We start from the raw sequence: 15,040 nt of genomic DNA on the forward strand, positions 1-15,040 counted from the left end.
GTATACGTAAATTTTCTTTATCCATTCATCCGATGATGAACACTTAAGGTGCTTCCAAATCTTAGCTGTTGTAAACAGTGCTGCAACAAACATAGGAGTGCACATCTCTTTTTGATATACTGATTTCCTTTCTTTTTGGTATATACTCAGCAGTGGGACTGCTAGGTAATATGGTATTTCTATTTTCAGTTTTTTGAGGAACTTCCAAACTGTTCTTCATAGCAGATGTACTAATTTATATTCCCACCTAAAGTATACAAGAGTTCCCTTTTCTCCACATCCTCGCATTTGTTCTTGCCTGTCTTTTGGACATAAGCCATTTTAACTGAACTGAGATGATTTCTCTTTGTAGTTTTGACTTACATTTCTCTGATAACCAATGATGTTTATAGCACCTTTGTTTGTCATGTGTACGTCTTCTTTTGAGAAAGGTCTATTCAAATCTTTTGGTCATATTGTGATCGGATTATTAGTTTTTTTTCTATAGAGTTGTTTGAGCTTCTTATATATTCTGGTTATTAATCCCTTGTCAGATGAGTAATTTGCAAATATTTTCTGTCTTTCTGGAGGTTGTCTCCTTACTTTGTGGATTGTTTCCTTTGCTGTGCAGAAGCTTTTTAACTTGATGTGATCCCATTTGTCCATTTCTGCTTTGGTTGCCTGGACTTGTACAGTACTGCTCAAGGAATTTTTTGCCCAGATAAATGTCCAGATTTACCCAAATGTTTTATTGTAATAGTTACACAGTTTGAGGTCTTAGATTTAAGTCCTTAATCCACTTTGATTTGATTTTTTGTATATGGAAAAAGATAAAGGTCTAGTTTCATTCTTCTGGATATGAATATTCAGTTTTCCCAGCACCATTTAACGTAGAGACTGTCTTTTCTCCAGTGTAGATTCTTCGCACCATTGTGGAAAATAAGTTTGACAAAAATGTGTGGATATGTTTCTGGGTTCTCTATTCTGATCCATTGGTCTGTGTGTCTGTTTTTATACTGGTACCATGCTGTTTTGGTTACTATACCTCTAGTATAATTTGAAGTCAGGTAATGTAATTCTTCCAGTTTTGTTCTTTTTGTTTAACATAGCTTTGGCTATTCTTGATCTTCTGTGGTTCCCCATACATATTGTTTTTTCTATTTCTGTAAAGAATGTCATTGGTATTTTGACAGGGATTGTGCTGAATCTGTATACTGTTTTGGGTAGTGTGGACATTTTAACAATATTTATTCTTCCAATCCATGAACATGGAATATTTTCCCATTTTTTTGGTCCTCTTCACTTTTTTAATCAAGGTTTTAGTTTTCATTATAGAGATCTTTCACTTCTTTGGTTAATTCCTAGGTATTTAATTTTCTGTGTGGCTATTGTAAATGGGATTACTTTTTAAATTTCTTTTTCACATTGTTCACTGTTGGCATAGAGAAATGCTACTGATTTTTGTATGTTGATTTTGTATCCTGCAACTTTACTGAGTTTCCTGATCAGTTCTAACAGTTTCCTTGTGGAATCTTTTGGATTTTTCCAAATATAAGATCCTATCACCTGCAAACAAGGATAATTTGAATTCTTCCTTTCCAACTTGTATGCCCTTTGTATCTTTCTCATCTGATTGCTCTAACTACGACTTCCAGTACTATGTCGAATAACAATGGTAAAAATAGGAATCCTTGTCGTGTTCCAGATCTTCGAGGAAAGGCTTTCGGTTTTTTCCTCATTAAGTGTACTAGCTGTGGGTCTGTCCTATATGGTGCTTACGATGTTGAGGTATGTTCCTTCTATACCCAGTTTTTTGAGGGTTTTTTTTTATCATGAACGGATGTTGAATTTTATCAAGTGTTTTTTTCAGCATCAATTTAAATGATCATATGATTTTTATCCTACATTCTGTTGATATAATGTATCACATGAGTTTATTTGTGTTTGTTGAACCATCCTGTATCCCAGGAATAAATTCCACTTGGTCATGATGCATGCCCTTTCTAATTTACTGTCGAATTTGGTTTGCTAGTATTTTGTTGAGGATTTTTGCATCAATATTCATGAGTGATGCTGGCCCGTAGTTTTTTTTGTGTATGTTTTTTGTTTGTTTTTGATGTGTCTTTGTCTGGTTTTAGTACCAGGGTAATACTGGCCACAAAGAATGAGTCTGAAAGTGTTCCCTCCACCTCTATTTTTCAAAATAATTTGAGTAGGATTGGTATTATTAGTTATTTAAATGTTCGGTATAATTCAGCAGTGAAGCCATCATGTCCCAGGCTTTTCTTTACTGGGAGAATTTTTGTTACGATTTCTATCTTGTTACTTGTTATCTGTGTGTTCAGGTTTTGGATTTCTTCCTGGTTCAATTTCGGTAGGCTGTACACATCTAGGAATTTGTCCATTTCTTCTAGATTTTTCCAATTTATTGGCATATTGTTGCTCATAGTAGCAACTAATGATCCTCTGCATTTCTGCAGTATCAGTTGTAATATCTCCTTTTTCATTTCTTATTTTATTTAGATATTCTCTATTTTTTTAGTCTGGCTAAACGTTGACAATTTTGTTTAACTTTTCATAAAACCAATTTTTCATTGATCTTTTGTCCTTTTTTTCATTTCAATTGCATTTCTTTCTGCTCTGATCTTTATTATTTTTTTTCTTCTACTGTTTTCGTTTGGTTTACTCTTGCTTTTCTGGTTCTTTAAGATGCACCGTTAAATTGCTTATGTAAAGTTGTCCCTGTTTTTTGTTGTAGGCACTTAGAGCTATACATTTCCCTCTTAGTACTGCTTTTGTTGTATCCCACCGGTATGTTTCCATTATCATTTATTTCAATAAATATTTCAATTTCCTTCTTAATCTCTTCATTGACCTACGGGTCATCTGGGAGCATTTCCATGTAGTTGTATAACTTCCAAAACTCCTCTTGCTATTAATTTCTAGTTTTATTCCATTGTGGTCAGAGAAGATGCTTTATTCTATTGTGGTCAGAGAAGATACTTCATATTATTTCAGGTTTTTTTTAAATGTTTTAAGATTTGTTCTGTGGCCTAACATTATGGTTTGTCCTTGAGAATGATCATGTTCTGAGAAAGAGAATGTGTATTCTGCAGCTCTTGAATGAAATGTCCAGTAAATATCTATTAGAACCTTTTGGTCAATAGTGAATATTTAAGTCTAATGTTTCTTTGCTGATTTTTCCCTGGGAAGATCGATCAAATTCTGAAAGTGGGATGTTAAAGTCTCTAGCTTTTATTGTATTGGGGCCAGTCTATCTCTTTAGCTCTAATAATATTTCCTTTATATATCTGGGTGCTTCAGTGTTGGGTGCATATATATTTTAAATTGTTATATCCTCTTGATTAATTGACCCCTTTTTACCATTATATAGTAACATTATTTGTCTCTTCTTATAGTTTTTGTCTTGAGATCTATTTTGTTTTATATAGCTATAGCTACTCCTGCTCTTTTCTGGTTTCCATTGGCATGGAATATCTTTTTCCATCCTTTTTTTTTCAGTCTATGTGTGTCTTTATACGTGAAGTATGTTTCTTGTAGGCAACAGATAAATAAATGGGTCTTGTTTTCATCCATACAGCCAAACTATGTCTTTTGATTGGAGGGTTTAGTGTATTTACATTCAATGTTATCATTGATAAGTAAGGACTTACTCCTGCTATTTTGTTACTTGTTTTTTGGTTCTTTTGTAATCTTCTCTTTCTTCTTTCATTCCTGTCATCCTCTAGTGAAGATGATTTTTCTCTGGTGACTATTTAGTTTTTTGCTTTTTATTTTTTGTGTATCCACTGCATGTTTTTTGGTTTGAGGTTACCATGAGGCTTGCAAATACTATCTTGTAACTCATTATTTTGACCTGATAACAACTTAACACTGTTTGCATAAACAAACAAGTGAAAAGAATACTAATAAAAACTTTGCCTTAACTTCATCCCTCACTTTTTAACTTTTTATTGTTTCTATGTATATCTTATTGTACTATGTCTTGAAAAGTTGTAGTTATTATTTTCAACTGGTTCATCTTTTAGTCTTTCAACTTAGGATAAGAGTAGTTTATATACCACAGTTACAGTGTTATATTATTTTGTGGTTTTCTATGTACTTACTATTACCAGTTATTTTTGTACCTTCAGGTGATTATTTATTGCTCATTAATATCCTTTACTTTCTGATTGAGGTACTCCCTTTAGCATTTATTGTAGGACAGGTCTGGTAGAAATTCCTCAGCTTTTGTTTGTCTGGGAAGGTCTTTATTTCTCCTTCATGTTTGAAGGATATTTTTGCCAGATACACTATTCTAGAATAAAAGTTTTTATCCTTCAGCACTTTAAATATGTCATTCCACTCTCTCTGGGTCTGTAAGGTTTCCACTGAAAGATTTGCTACCAGATGTATTGGAGCTCCATTGTATGTTATTTGTTTCTTTTCTCTTGATGCTTTTAGGATCCTTTCTTTATCCTTGACCTTCGGGAGTTTGATTATTAAATGCCTTGAGGTAGTCTGCTTTTGGTGAAACTGGCTTGGTGTTCTATAACCTTCTTGGACTTGGATATTGATACCATTCTCTAGGTTTGTGAAGTTCTCTATTAGTAACCCTTTCAATGAACTTTCTACCCCTATCTCTTTCTTGACCTTCTCTTTAAGGCCAATAACTCTGACATTTGCCCTTTTAGAGTATTTTTCTAGATCCTGTAGTCATGCTTCATTTTTTAATTCTTTTTTTTCCTTTAGTCTCCTCTGACTGTGTATTTTCAAACAGACTGTCTTCAAGCTCACTAATTCTTTCTTCTGCTAGATCCATTCTGCTATTAAAGAACTCTGATACATTTTTCAGTATGCTAATTGTATTTTTAAGCTCCAGAATTTCTGCTTCTTTTTAATTATTTCAATCTCTCTTAAATTTATCTGATAGAATTCTAAATTTATTCTCTGTGTTATCTTGAATTTCTTTGAATTTCCTCAACACAGCTATTTAGAATTCTCTGTCTGAAAAGTCACATATCTCTGTTTCTCCAGGATTGGTCCCTGGTACCTTATTTAGTTCATTTGTTGAGGTCATGTTTTCCTGGATGGTGTTGATGCTTGTAGATGTTCTTTGGTGTCTGGGCACTGAAGAATAAGGTATTTATTGTAGTTTTCACTGTATGGCCTCATCTGTAGCCATCCTTCTTGAGAAGGCTTTCTAGATATTTGAAAAGACTTGAGTGTTGTGTTCTAAGCTGTTTCTGCTTTAAGGGGCACCCCAAGCTCCATAACCCTGTGGTGCTTGCAGGCTCGTAGAGGTACCATCTTGATGGCCTTAAACAAGATCCAGGAGAATTCTCTGAATTACCAGACAGAGACTTCTGTTCTCTTCCCTTATATTCTCCCAGACATAGAGTTTCTTTCTCTCTCTCTCTGTTCTGAGTCACCTACAGCTGGGGGTAGAGTGACACAAGCAACTCTGTGTCATACTACCAGTATGACTGCATGGGGCGAGACCTGATGCCAGCACAGCCCTGGTTGTCACCCAAGGCCTGCTATAACCACTCCCTGGCTACTCTTTATGTTTGCTCAAGGCCCTGGAGCTCTACAATCAGCAGTTGGAAAAGCCAGCCAGGCCTATATCCTTCCCTTCAGTGCAGCAAGGTCCTCCAGGCCCCATGTGAGTTCAAAAGTGCTGTCCAGGAGTCAGGAACTTCAGTCAAAAACCTTAGAAGTCTACTTGGTATTCTACTGTAATGTTGCTGAGCTGGCACTCAAACTACAAGACACAGTCCTTCCCAGTCTTCCTTCCCCTTTCCAAAGACAGATGAGCCTCACCCCATAGTCAGAGCCACAGCTAGCCAGCAGGAGTACTGCCAGGCTACCACTGATGTTTGTTTAAGGCTTGAGGTCTCCTAAGTCAGCTTGTGATGAATACTGCCTGGCCTGGGACTCACCCTTCAGGGTAGTGACCTCCTCTATGGCCCAGGGCAGGTTCAGAAATGCTGTCCAAGAGTCAAGTCCTGACACAGGGGACCCCAAGAGCCCACTTGGTGCTCTAACCCCCATGGCAGTGTTGGTACCTGAAGCCAGCAAGTCTCAGAGGCTCAACAAGCCCTCAATGTAGTACCTGGGTATCGCTGCTGGTTATTCAAGGCTCAAGGACTCTTCAGTTGGCAGGTGATGAATGCTGGCAGGACTGGGTCCTTCCCTTCCAGACAGTGAGTTCCCTCCTGATCTAGAGTGTGTCTAGAAATGCTGTCTGGGAGCTAGGGCCTGGAACAGGGGTTTCATGACTCTGACCAGTGCCCTATCCTGTGGTGGCTTAGCTGGCATCCAAGATGCAAGACAAAGTCTGCCCTACTCTTCCACTTCTTCTCCTCAAGCAAAACGGGTTTCTTTTGGAGCCACCAGCTGTGCAGCCTGCAATTAAGGGAAGGGTGATGCCAACACTCCCTTGACTGCCCCAGGCAGTGTTTCAGTGTGTCGTGTGTCCACACAGTCTACTGTTTCTGGGCCTACTTCCGCCATAGGACACACCTAAGAGTTGCAGTTCTTTGTTTTGTTTTGTTTGTTTGTTTTTTGAGACAGAGTCTCACTCTGTCACCCAGGCTGGAGTGCAGTAGTGCGATCTCGGCTCACTGCAACCTCCGCCCTCCGAGTTCAAGTGATTCTCCTGCCTCAGCCTCCAGAGTAGCTGGGATTACAGGCACCTGCCACCACACCTGGCTAATTTTTTGTATTTTTAGTAGAGACAGGGTTTCACCTTCTTGGCCAGGCTGGTCTTTAACTCCTGACCTCGTGATCCACCCACCTCAGCCTCCCAAAATGCTCGGATTACAGGCGTGAGCCACCGCGCCTGGCCGAATTACAGTTCTTATGGCCAAGATTGCCTTTCAAGTTTACCTAGAAACCAGGGGCACTTTGACCCTAAGTGGTGAGATTTGCAGGCACTCAAGTTCAGACCCCTGGGATTGGTCATTTCCCTCTGGCTAGGGATGGTTTAAATGTTCCCTGTGTGGGTGGGCATCAGCTAAGTTTGGTCTGGAATTCCTTTCTGCTTTAACAGAACAGCACTGAGTTCAATGCCTTATAACTACTGTCCTCTCCCTCGCCCAGTGCCCAGAGATGCTCTCTGCAAGCAGGCTGCAGCTGCCAGGGGTGGGGAAGGGGTGGTGTCATAGATTCAGAACTGCTTTTTCTATCTCTTCGGTGCCTCTTTCAGCAATATGAAGTTAAAAACAGGTATTGTGAGTGTTCACCTCATTTTCGGTTCTATGAAGGTAATTTTTTCTGCGTAATGTTAGTTGTTAACTGGTGTCCTTGTTGGGGTTGGGGGGTAAGGACAATTGGTGGAGCTTTCTATTCCACTATCTTGCTTCACCTCTGTATCTTAATTTATATTTTAAAAATAATGCATTTAAAGACTGAGTAAGGGTAAGCTCTTTTGTGTTTAAAAGACATTTTATATGCTTTGCCTAATTTTTAATAAATTGTTAGCCATTTTCTTATTAATTGGTTTAAGAGCTCTTTACATATTAAACAGATAAGCTTTAATAGCTCTACAAATATTCATTCCCAGGTATTTTTCTTTTAATTACATTTTTAGATACATGGAATTTTTTTTCAACAGAGTCAAATTTATCAGTCTTTCTTTTTTGGCTTCTGGGTTTTGTGTTTTGCAGCCCTTCCTCCAAGACTGTAAAAAAACTCACCCCTCATTTTCTCTTCTAGTATGTATATGGTTTTATTTTTATGAACTTCTATATTCGATCCACATCAAACATATGTTGTTATATGGATTTACACATTTTGAAATCAAACCCTTTGTGAGTACATTTCAATGAAAAGTGACTTTAATATGTTTTAATAAAAAATGATTGTTGTAGGCCATGTGTTGGGAAGTTTGGAAAAATTAACAGTTAAAGGAGGATGAGGACTGAAAAACTAGAGGAAAAAGCAAAGTAAACTGCAAAGAAATGTTGCAAGAGTAGAATTGCAATGCACTAGACACATGCTAAGGAACCACTACTCCTTGTCAGTCAACCACAAAATAGAAAATTAATTAGGATTGCATATGGTGGAGTAAATTGCATGTTTTAATACTGCTGTGCTTGTCTGAGATTTGATACATTTCTTAATAATTTCTAAACTCCTCAGTATACAAAAATATTAGACCAGAAACCTTTTTGGGGTTTCTTTCTTTGCAATATTTGGCCCATGTTTTTAGAAAGGGATAATCCTAATACATCAACTTTAAGTTTACTTTTTCTGCAGACTCAGCCTAAAGACTTCCATATCCTTTTCTAGAAGTTTTCCTCTCATAAAGTGTTCTCAACTAAGAGTATAGACAAAATACCCTAAGTGACTCAATCGACTCATTTTAAGGATTAGATATACACTATTATATATCCGAATATCTAAAGTAATAACTAAACTAAAATAGATCTATAAATACACACAGAAAAGAATTAGCATAGCATACCTTATACTACTATCCTCAGGTAGGCCTACTTGACGTTTGACACTTGGCTGGCATCTAGGAACTTGGATTTATGGAAGATTCCCAGAATTGGTAAGAGTGGCTCACTGTACCTAAACTGTTTGTACAAACAATGGTGATTTATGCCAAACACCTGATTTCCTTCTGGGGATCTGGAATTTTGGTATGTGCCAGGCAGAATGTGCCCATGACTGACTACTGATTAAAAACTGGGAACTCTTAAGCCCAGGGGAACTTCCCTGGTAGACATTTCACATGTATCATGATAAGTAGCTGGAGGAAATAAGCTTGTTCCATGTGACTTCACTGGGAAAGGAATCTTGCCAGCTTGGACCTGGATCCTCCAGACTTCACCCTATACACACTTTCCCTTTGTTGATCCTGCTTTATATCCTTTTACTCTAATAAATCATAGACATAAGTACAACTATACACTGAGTTCTGTGAATCCTCCTAGCAAATACACAAATCACAGTAAACATTAATGCAATGTTTAGATATAAACTTTAGAACCTGTAAAAATTTAAACATTAGTAAAAAATGTTTGATATTATTCTTAGATATAGGCTTTATACTTCATAGTAAGTGGTTTTAGCTATAAATCAAAGGATAGTCTTTAGATGTATGTAACATAGCATAGTTGCAACTTAGCCTTGTGGGCCATAATTGCACATACAAATAGTATATGCAATTAAACATAGTAATAAAAAAATCCATTATTAACTATGTAGGATAATAAGGAATTTATTTAAATGGATTCTTGGCTTAGAATGCTAAAGATATTAATCTTTCTTCACATGAAATAAACTATGTATAATTAATCATTGTTCCATGATTAATTATGCTCATTTCATGAGTTAAAAAAGTAAATATATTAAAAGTGACTTACCTTTTAATCTTGGCCTTTTCAGCCTTTTCTTCTTTATCACATTTCTTGGCATTCCTATTAAGTTCTTTTGCAGCAAACTTCAAGTAAAATAATGGCTCTGAAAAGAGCCATTAAGGATAAGGCTATTCAAAAAGTTATTTCCCCAACATAACTACCTGCAAACAAGATATTAAAATTATAAAACATATGAGATAAGATTAATATTAACCAACTAGTCACAATGCTTTTGAGGAACTGGAACAATTTCTTTATTCTACACTTGTTTTCTGTTAAAAAATATCAAATTAATAGAAATCATTGATTATAAGGGGAGAAATTACTGTGGAGAAACCGGACAGATACCACTTAACCAAGGTTAACATCACCAGTGATAAAACATTTCAGTATAATTTATCTTCTGAAATGATAAACTGAGAGGGGTATAGCATCGTTTCTATGGCATGGTTGCCGAAAACATAACCTTAATCTACTCAAGAGAAAACATGGGACAATCCTGAACTGAGAGACATTTGATATAACAGACTAGCGTACTTTTCAAGTGTCAAATTCATGAAAAGCAAGGAAAGACTGAATAAGCAGTCACAGACTGGAGGAGACTAAGGAGATATGGCGACTAAATGCAACGTAGGATCCTGGAACAGAAAGAGGATGTTAATGGAAATACTGGTAAATCCAAATAAGATCTGTGGTTTATTTATTTATCTTGTAGTGATGTTGATTTCCTTATGTTGATAATTATACTATGGTTCTGTAAGACATTAACATTAGCAAAAGCTTGGTAGAAGGTATACAAGGACTTGCTGTACTATTTTTACAACTTTTCTTTAAATCTAAAATTATTTTAAAACTTTTTAATTAAAAAAGAAAAAAATCATTAAAAAACTAGGAATAAAAGCACTCCCATAAATAAAACCACATTGAATATCATAAATCTTTCATTTTCATGTCACAAACAAAAATAAATATGAAGTATATGCACATATATATGACAAAGTGCTGCGAATTATTTAGAAACCAACCAGATTATGTAATGACTAGATCACTAAGGTATAGTTTTAAAGGGCTGGCTTTTGGATTGATTGTATCATTATTAGAAAACAAGAATGGCTTGCTTAATCTACCAAAACTAAATAATAAATTAAGCTATCTTCTTTATCTCTCAGTTGCTTCATGGCTCTAATTCAATGCCTAAAGACTCTATGTATTTTATGACCTCTGAAAAAAGGTAAATGACCTCTGAAAAAAGGTAAAATATACTTTTTAAAACCTTGTTTCTGTGTTTCTTTAGGACATTTACAAAAACGATGGAAGGTTCCTTTTTATCTATTTATTTTGAAAAGTGCACACACATGATATGATTTAAAGGGCTGACTTTTGGATTGATAATATCGCTATTAGAAAACAAGAATGGTTTCTTTAATTTACCAAAACTAAAGCTATCTTGTTCATTTCTCACTGGTTTCATGGCTTTAATTCTATGCCTTATTTATGGATAATGACAGGAATAAATGTGCTGCCCTGAGTAGTTTCCAGGCTATAAATTCTAGATATACCTAGAATTGTAAATAAGTGCATATGTATACATTTATGTGTAATTTTAATATAAAATATACCTGAAATTTGTAAGATTTAACAATTTCAGCTTGGTGACTAAGTTATATGCCCTTATATATACACACACAAATATGTATATGTACACACACACAAACACACACACACGGTTTGCCAAGGTTTCTCAATTTGGGGCCAGATAATTCTTTGTGAGGCTGTCCTATAAATTCTAGGAAATTTAGCAGCATCCCTGGCCTTTATCCAGTAGATGTCAGAAGCACCCACTCCTCTCAGTTGTAACAACCAATAACATCTCCAGACATTGCCAAAAGTCACTTGGGGTGGGGGAGGGAAAATGCACCTCTGATGAAAATCAAAATCACTAATATAGATGAAAAATATATTATTTTTCCTTTCTTTGTCTTCATTTTCTAAATTATTTCCCCAATATAATTGCTGTCTCTGTAGAAAAAGTCACTAAAGTTAAAAGCTGAATTATGATACTGACAGAGCAGGAGCACCGTCATCTCGGACAAACACTGCCACTTTAAGTTCCAGCTCCCTTTCTAGACTCATGCATTTCAAGGAAATCACTTCTAACTACAAGCAGCCAGAAAGAGTAGACAGTAAAACACAGATAAGAGAGCTCGGGAACAGTGGGAGGTGGAGGGAAAATCTCTTGGTAACTGCGAAACTTCACCCTCATACAATGGGCCCCAGTAAAACAGTGGGCCTTAGTAAGCACATTTCTTTCCCCTCAGGTACACTAAGATAGGGAAGCTAAAAGCAGACTCAGTGGGGTATGCCTGCAGTTGCAGAAAGACGTGTAGGAACAGACACAAAACTCTCTCTCCCAGATAAGCACAACAAAGAGACAAGAAGGAGTCCAAGCCTCTGACAAACTCTCCCACCCTAAATCCTTAAAAAACTCTTAATCTGTAAGAGTTTAAGTTTAACCTAAATCAGCCAGAAGCCCCTCTCAGGTTTGTTTTCTCTAAAATAAACCTGTCCTTGACTGTCAAGCCACCTTTCATGTTTCTTTCCTCTTTCTTTAAAATTCTTACATTTGGTGCTGAAACCCGGGATGGGTGTTGGGGGCAGAGGCTCTCTTGCAACCCAGGAAGCAGTGGGTAATGGCAGCTCATCCTGAATTAACTCCTGGATCCTGAGGGTCTCTGGCCGCCCACCCCACCTCTACTCTTACTTCACTTTTCAAGCGATTTGTGTGAGGAGGACAACTAATCTGAAGGGAACTGCAAGGCTCAGGCCAGGGCTACTCCCCAGTGGGCTCTCAAAACCCTCAGGTCTCAGGAATCCACCTCTGACCTCACACAATGGGTATTTCACTCCCTAACCCTTGCTCCCTCTTTTTCCCTCTTCTTTCTCTCTCTCTCTCTTCCTCGTGTGGCTCCAGTCTGGGAGGCCCTTTGCCGATTCCAACCAGAACATCCAACAGCAGACACTAATTCAGCTGACTGGTAAGATCTGCCTTCTCCTAGCTTCCTCTTGGTACTGGAGAAAGTCCGGCCTGCCATCCAGGTCCTTGGAGGACTAACGGGACTAAGCTAGAGGAAATCTTGGGGATGCCCACTTCCTTCTCAACTTAACCATCCTCTTTCGGAAACAGAATTCCGAGTCTCTGTCTTTTGTCTGGGGATACCTAGAACAAAACAGACACCCTTGGTTTCCTCTTACCAGTCCACATAGGTGCCAAACAATCCACATTCCTACGCCCTCCCCACGGGGCTGTTGTCTTTGCAACCTCACCAAACTTGGCTTACAGGGGACCCTAAATCCAAAACATTTAATTTTATACTGCAACATGACTTGGCCCCAATAGAGACTAGATAATAACAGCTGATGGCTCAAAAACGGCACCTTTAACTTTCAAATTCTCAGGCACCTTAACAACTTTATCATCAGAAACAGCAAATGACAAAAGGTTCCCCATATTTAGGCTTTCTTCTACCTTAAACCCCGCCCCTCCTCTTCTCCACCCCTTCAAAAACTACTCCAACCAGTCAAACCTCCTCTGCCATTCTCCCCCTACGGTAAGTGTCTATGGTTAAAGGTATTGCTCGGGTTCACGTCCCCTTCTCCATGTCTGATTTGTGGCAGATTGAACAGCTTCTGGGATCTTTCTCTAAAAATCCCTCTCATTATTGCAGGGAATTCCTGCATGTAACCCAATCCTTTAATATAAGTTGGCATAACATTCTTATAATTCCAACATCTACCCTCACCCTTAATAAAAAAGAGTGCTCAGCTTAATTAAAATGGATATCCAAGCTATAAGTGTATTTAAAAGGCCTTTATGTTTTTCTCTTCGTAAATCTTGTTTTCCTGAAAAAGGTTTTTTTTTTTCCAGTTGAAATTACTTTTCTCCACTCTGTCTTTCCAGTCTTGGTGCATGCATAAAAGACCCTAGAATAACTTCTGGTGGTCTGGGACTCCTTGGGAAGACAGAAAAGGCATCACAAATTCCATTTTGGGAAAAATCTGTTTTCCTTATGGAACCCCTGGAATTAGAGGTGAATAAGTACCTCTCAAAATCTGTCTTTGTCTTCCAGCTATGCTTGTCTATTAGGCCCTGAAAATTGTTTTCCTAGCCCTGTTCTTAAAGGGCCACACCCGGAGGCCAATAATCCAATTAGGAAATTAGCAAATGTAAGCCTTCTAACTACTTGATCTTCTTCTGGTTGTCTGTGTGGCTATATATGTGTTATGTGTGCAATGTCTATTAAAAAGAGCCCTAATTAATTGATTGGGCTAAGAAAAATAAGTGGCTAAATCAAATATTTTTAACAAAAAGTAAAAGCTGTGGTACCTTTCAGTTCATGTAATTTTAATACTTAAAAATAAAAACAGTCTTAGGAATTATTGGTAAAATACCAATGTTCTTAAGGTGTAAAAATGTGGTCTACATTATGCAGGTCAAATACTAGGTTTGCTAAATGTTTTAAGGTTGTAAACTGCTTCTTTAGCCTTTAAAAACTGTCAACTTGCCTGCTTCACAATTGGTAAGGCCAGAAACCTATGGAAGATGGAAGTAACTATGCCCCTAACTATGCTGGAAGAAGTCAAACTTCATCTGCATCTAGCACATAATTTAAAAAAAAAAAAACAGGTTTTACATTAAAGTTGAAAATTGCTAAAAGTTACCATTATAAGATGTAATTAAAACTACTGAACATGGATTTGCATGCAAGGTATATAAAAACAGTAAAAAGTGTTTTTAGTTAAAAATTATAGGAAGGCATAAAAATGTACATTTTGCTTAAGAATAAAAACTTGTCTTAAAATTAAATAAAATGGATGGTTTAGCAGATTGTAAAAACATTGTAAAAATTAATCCTGCAAAGAAATCTCTGTGTGTAAACATATTAACTAAACTCAAAGGGGTATTATATGGTTTTTTCTGTAAATTAAACACTAAAAGCACCACAAGGTTTTCTTAAAATGCTAATCTACTCTTTAGCAAAACTTGTCAAGGGTTATAACGGGTATGTAAAAATCTCACTTCATGGACAAACTAGGTAAAATTAAATAAAATTGTCTAGAAGGTTTCATTAAAATTAGGGTTAACATTAATAGCAAACTAATGCAAGGGTAAAATTTAACTTTCTCTCTTAAACAGAATTTTCATGTAATACAAAAGGCTAATAAATGGTTTTTGCTTTTCCAAATTTTTAACTCATCATTTTGGCAAAGCAAAACCAAACAAACAAACAGAAAACTTATGGTAATCTAAAATTATATTTTAATATCAAGCATTTTAAATTTTAAACATATTTAACAGGCTTCTCAAAATCAAATTTTAGTCTCAAAATTGTCTTTCCTAACCCCTGCAGCATCTGGAAAAAAAGGTAAACAGGATTATTTAACATGTTTAGGTACATAAAATTGCCAAAATAATGTCTAATAGGTTATATTTTAGGGAATAATATTAACATATGTTCCAAAACTGTATGGAATGTCTAAGTTTCTAGTGTCTAAATATGTGCTATTAATCACAATCAAGGTTGTTATGTTGGGTTATTGTAAACCACAAAAATGACCAAATTTCTTTGTCAGTTGTGTTTCTAACTGTATCCAACCTGGACATTTTGTTATCTACAGACAATTCTTATTTT

The 15,040-nt window shown here is 36.5% G+C and overlaps 1 pseudogene across 1 annotated transcript in view; it reads right to left on the reverse strand.

Moving 5' to 3' along the window:
• Positions 1-15,040, reverse strand: part of CHMP1B2P (charged multivesicular body protein 1B2, pseudogene) — a 106,830-nt pseudogene that overhangs the window by 72,234 nt on the left and 19,556 nt on the right. The window contains exon 2 of the transcript NR_110646.1: positions 9,357-9,511. The product of NR_110646.1 is annotated as a charged multivesicular body protein 1B2, pseudogene (transcript). The remainder of the gene's footprint in view (positions 1-9,356; positions 9,512-15,040) is intronic.

Source organism: Homo sapiens, chromosome X (assembly GCF_000001405.40).
Source record: "Homo sapiens chromosome X, GRCh38.p14 Primary Assembly".
Lineage (NCBI taxonomy): Eukaryota > Metazoa > Chordata > Mammalia > Primates > Hominidae > Homo > Homo sapiens.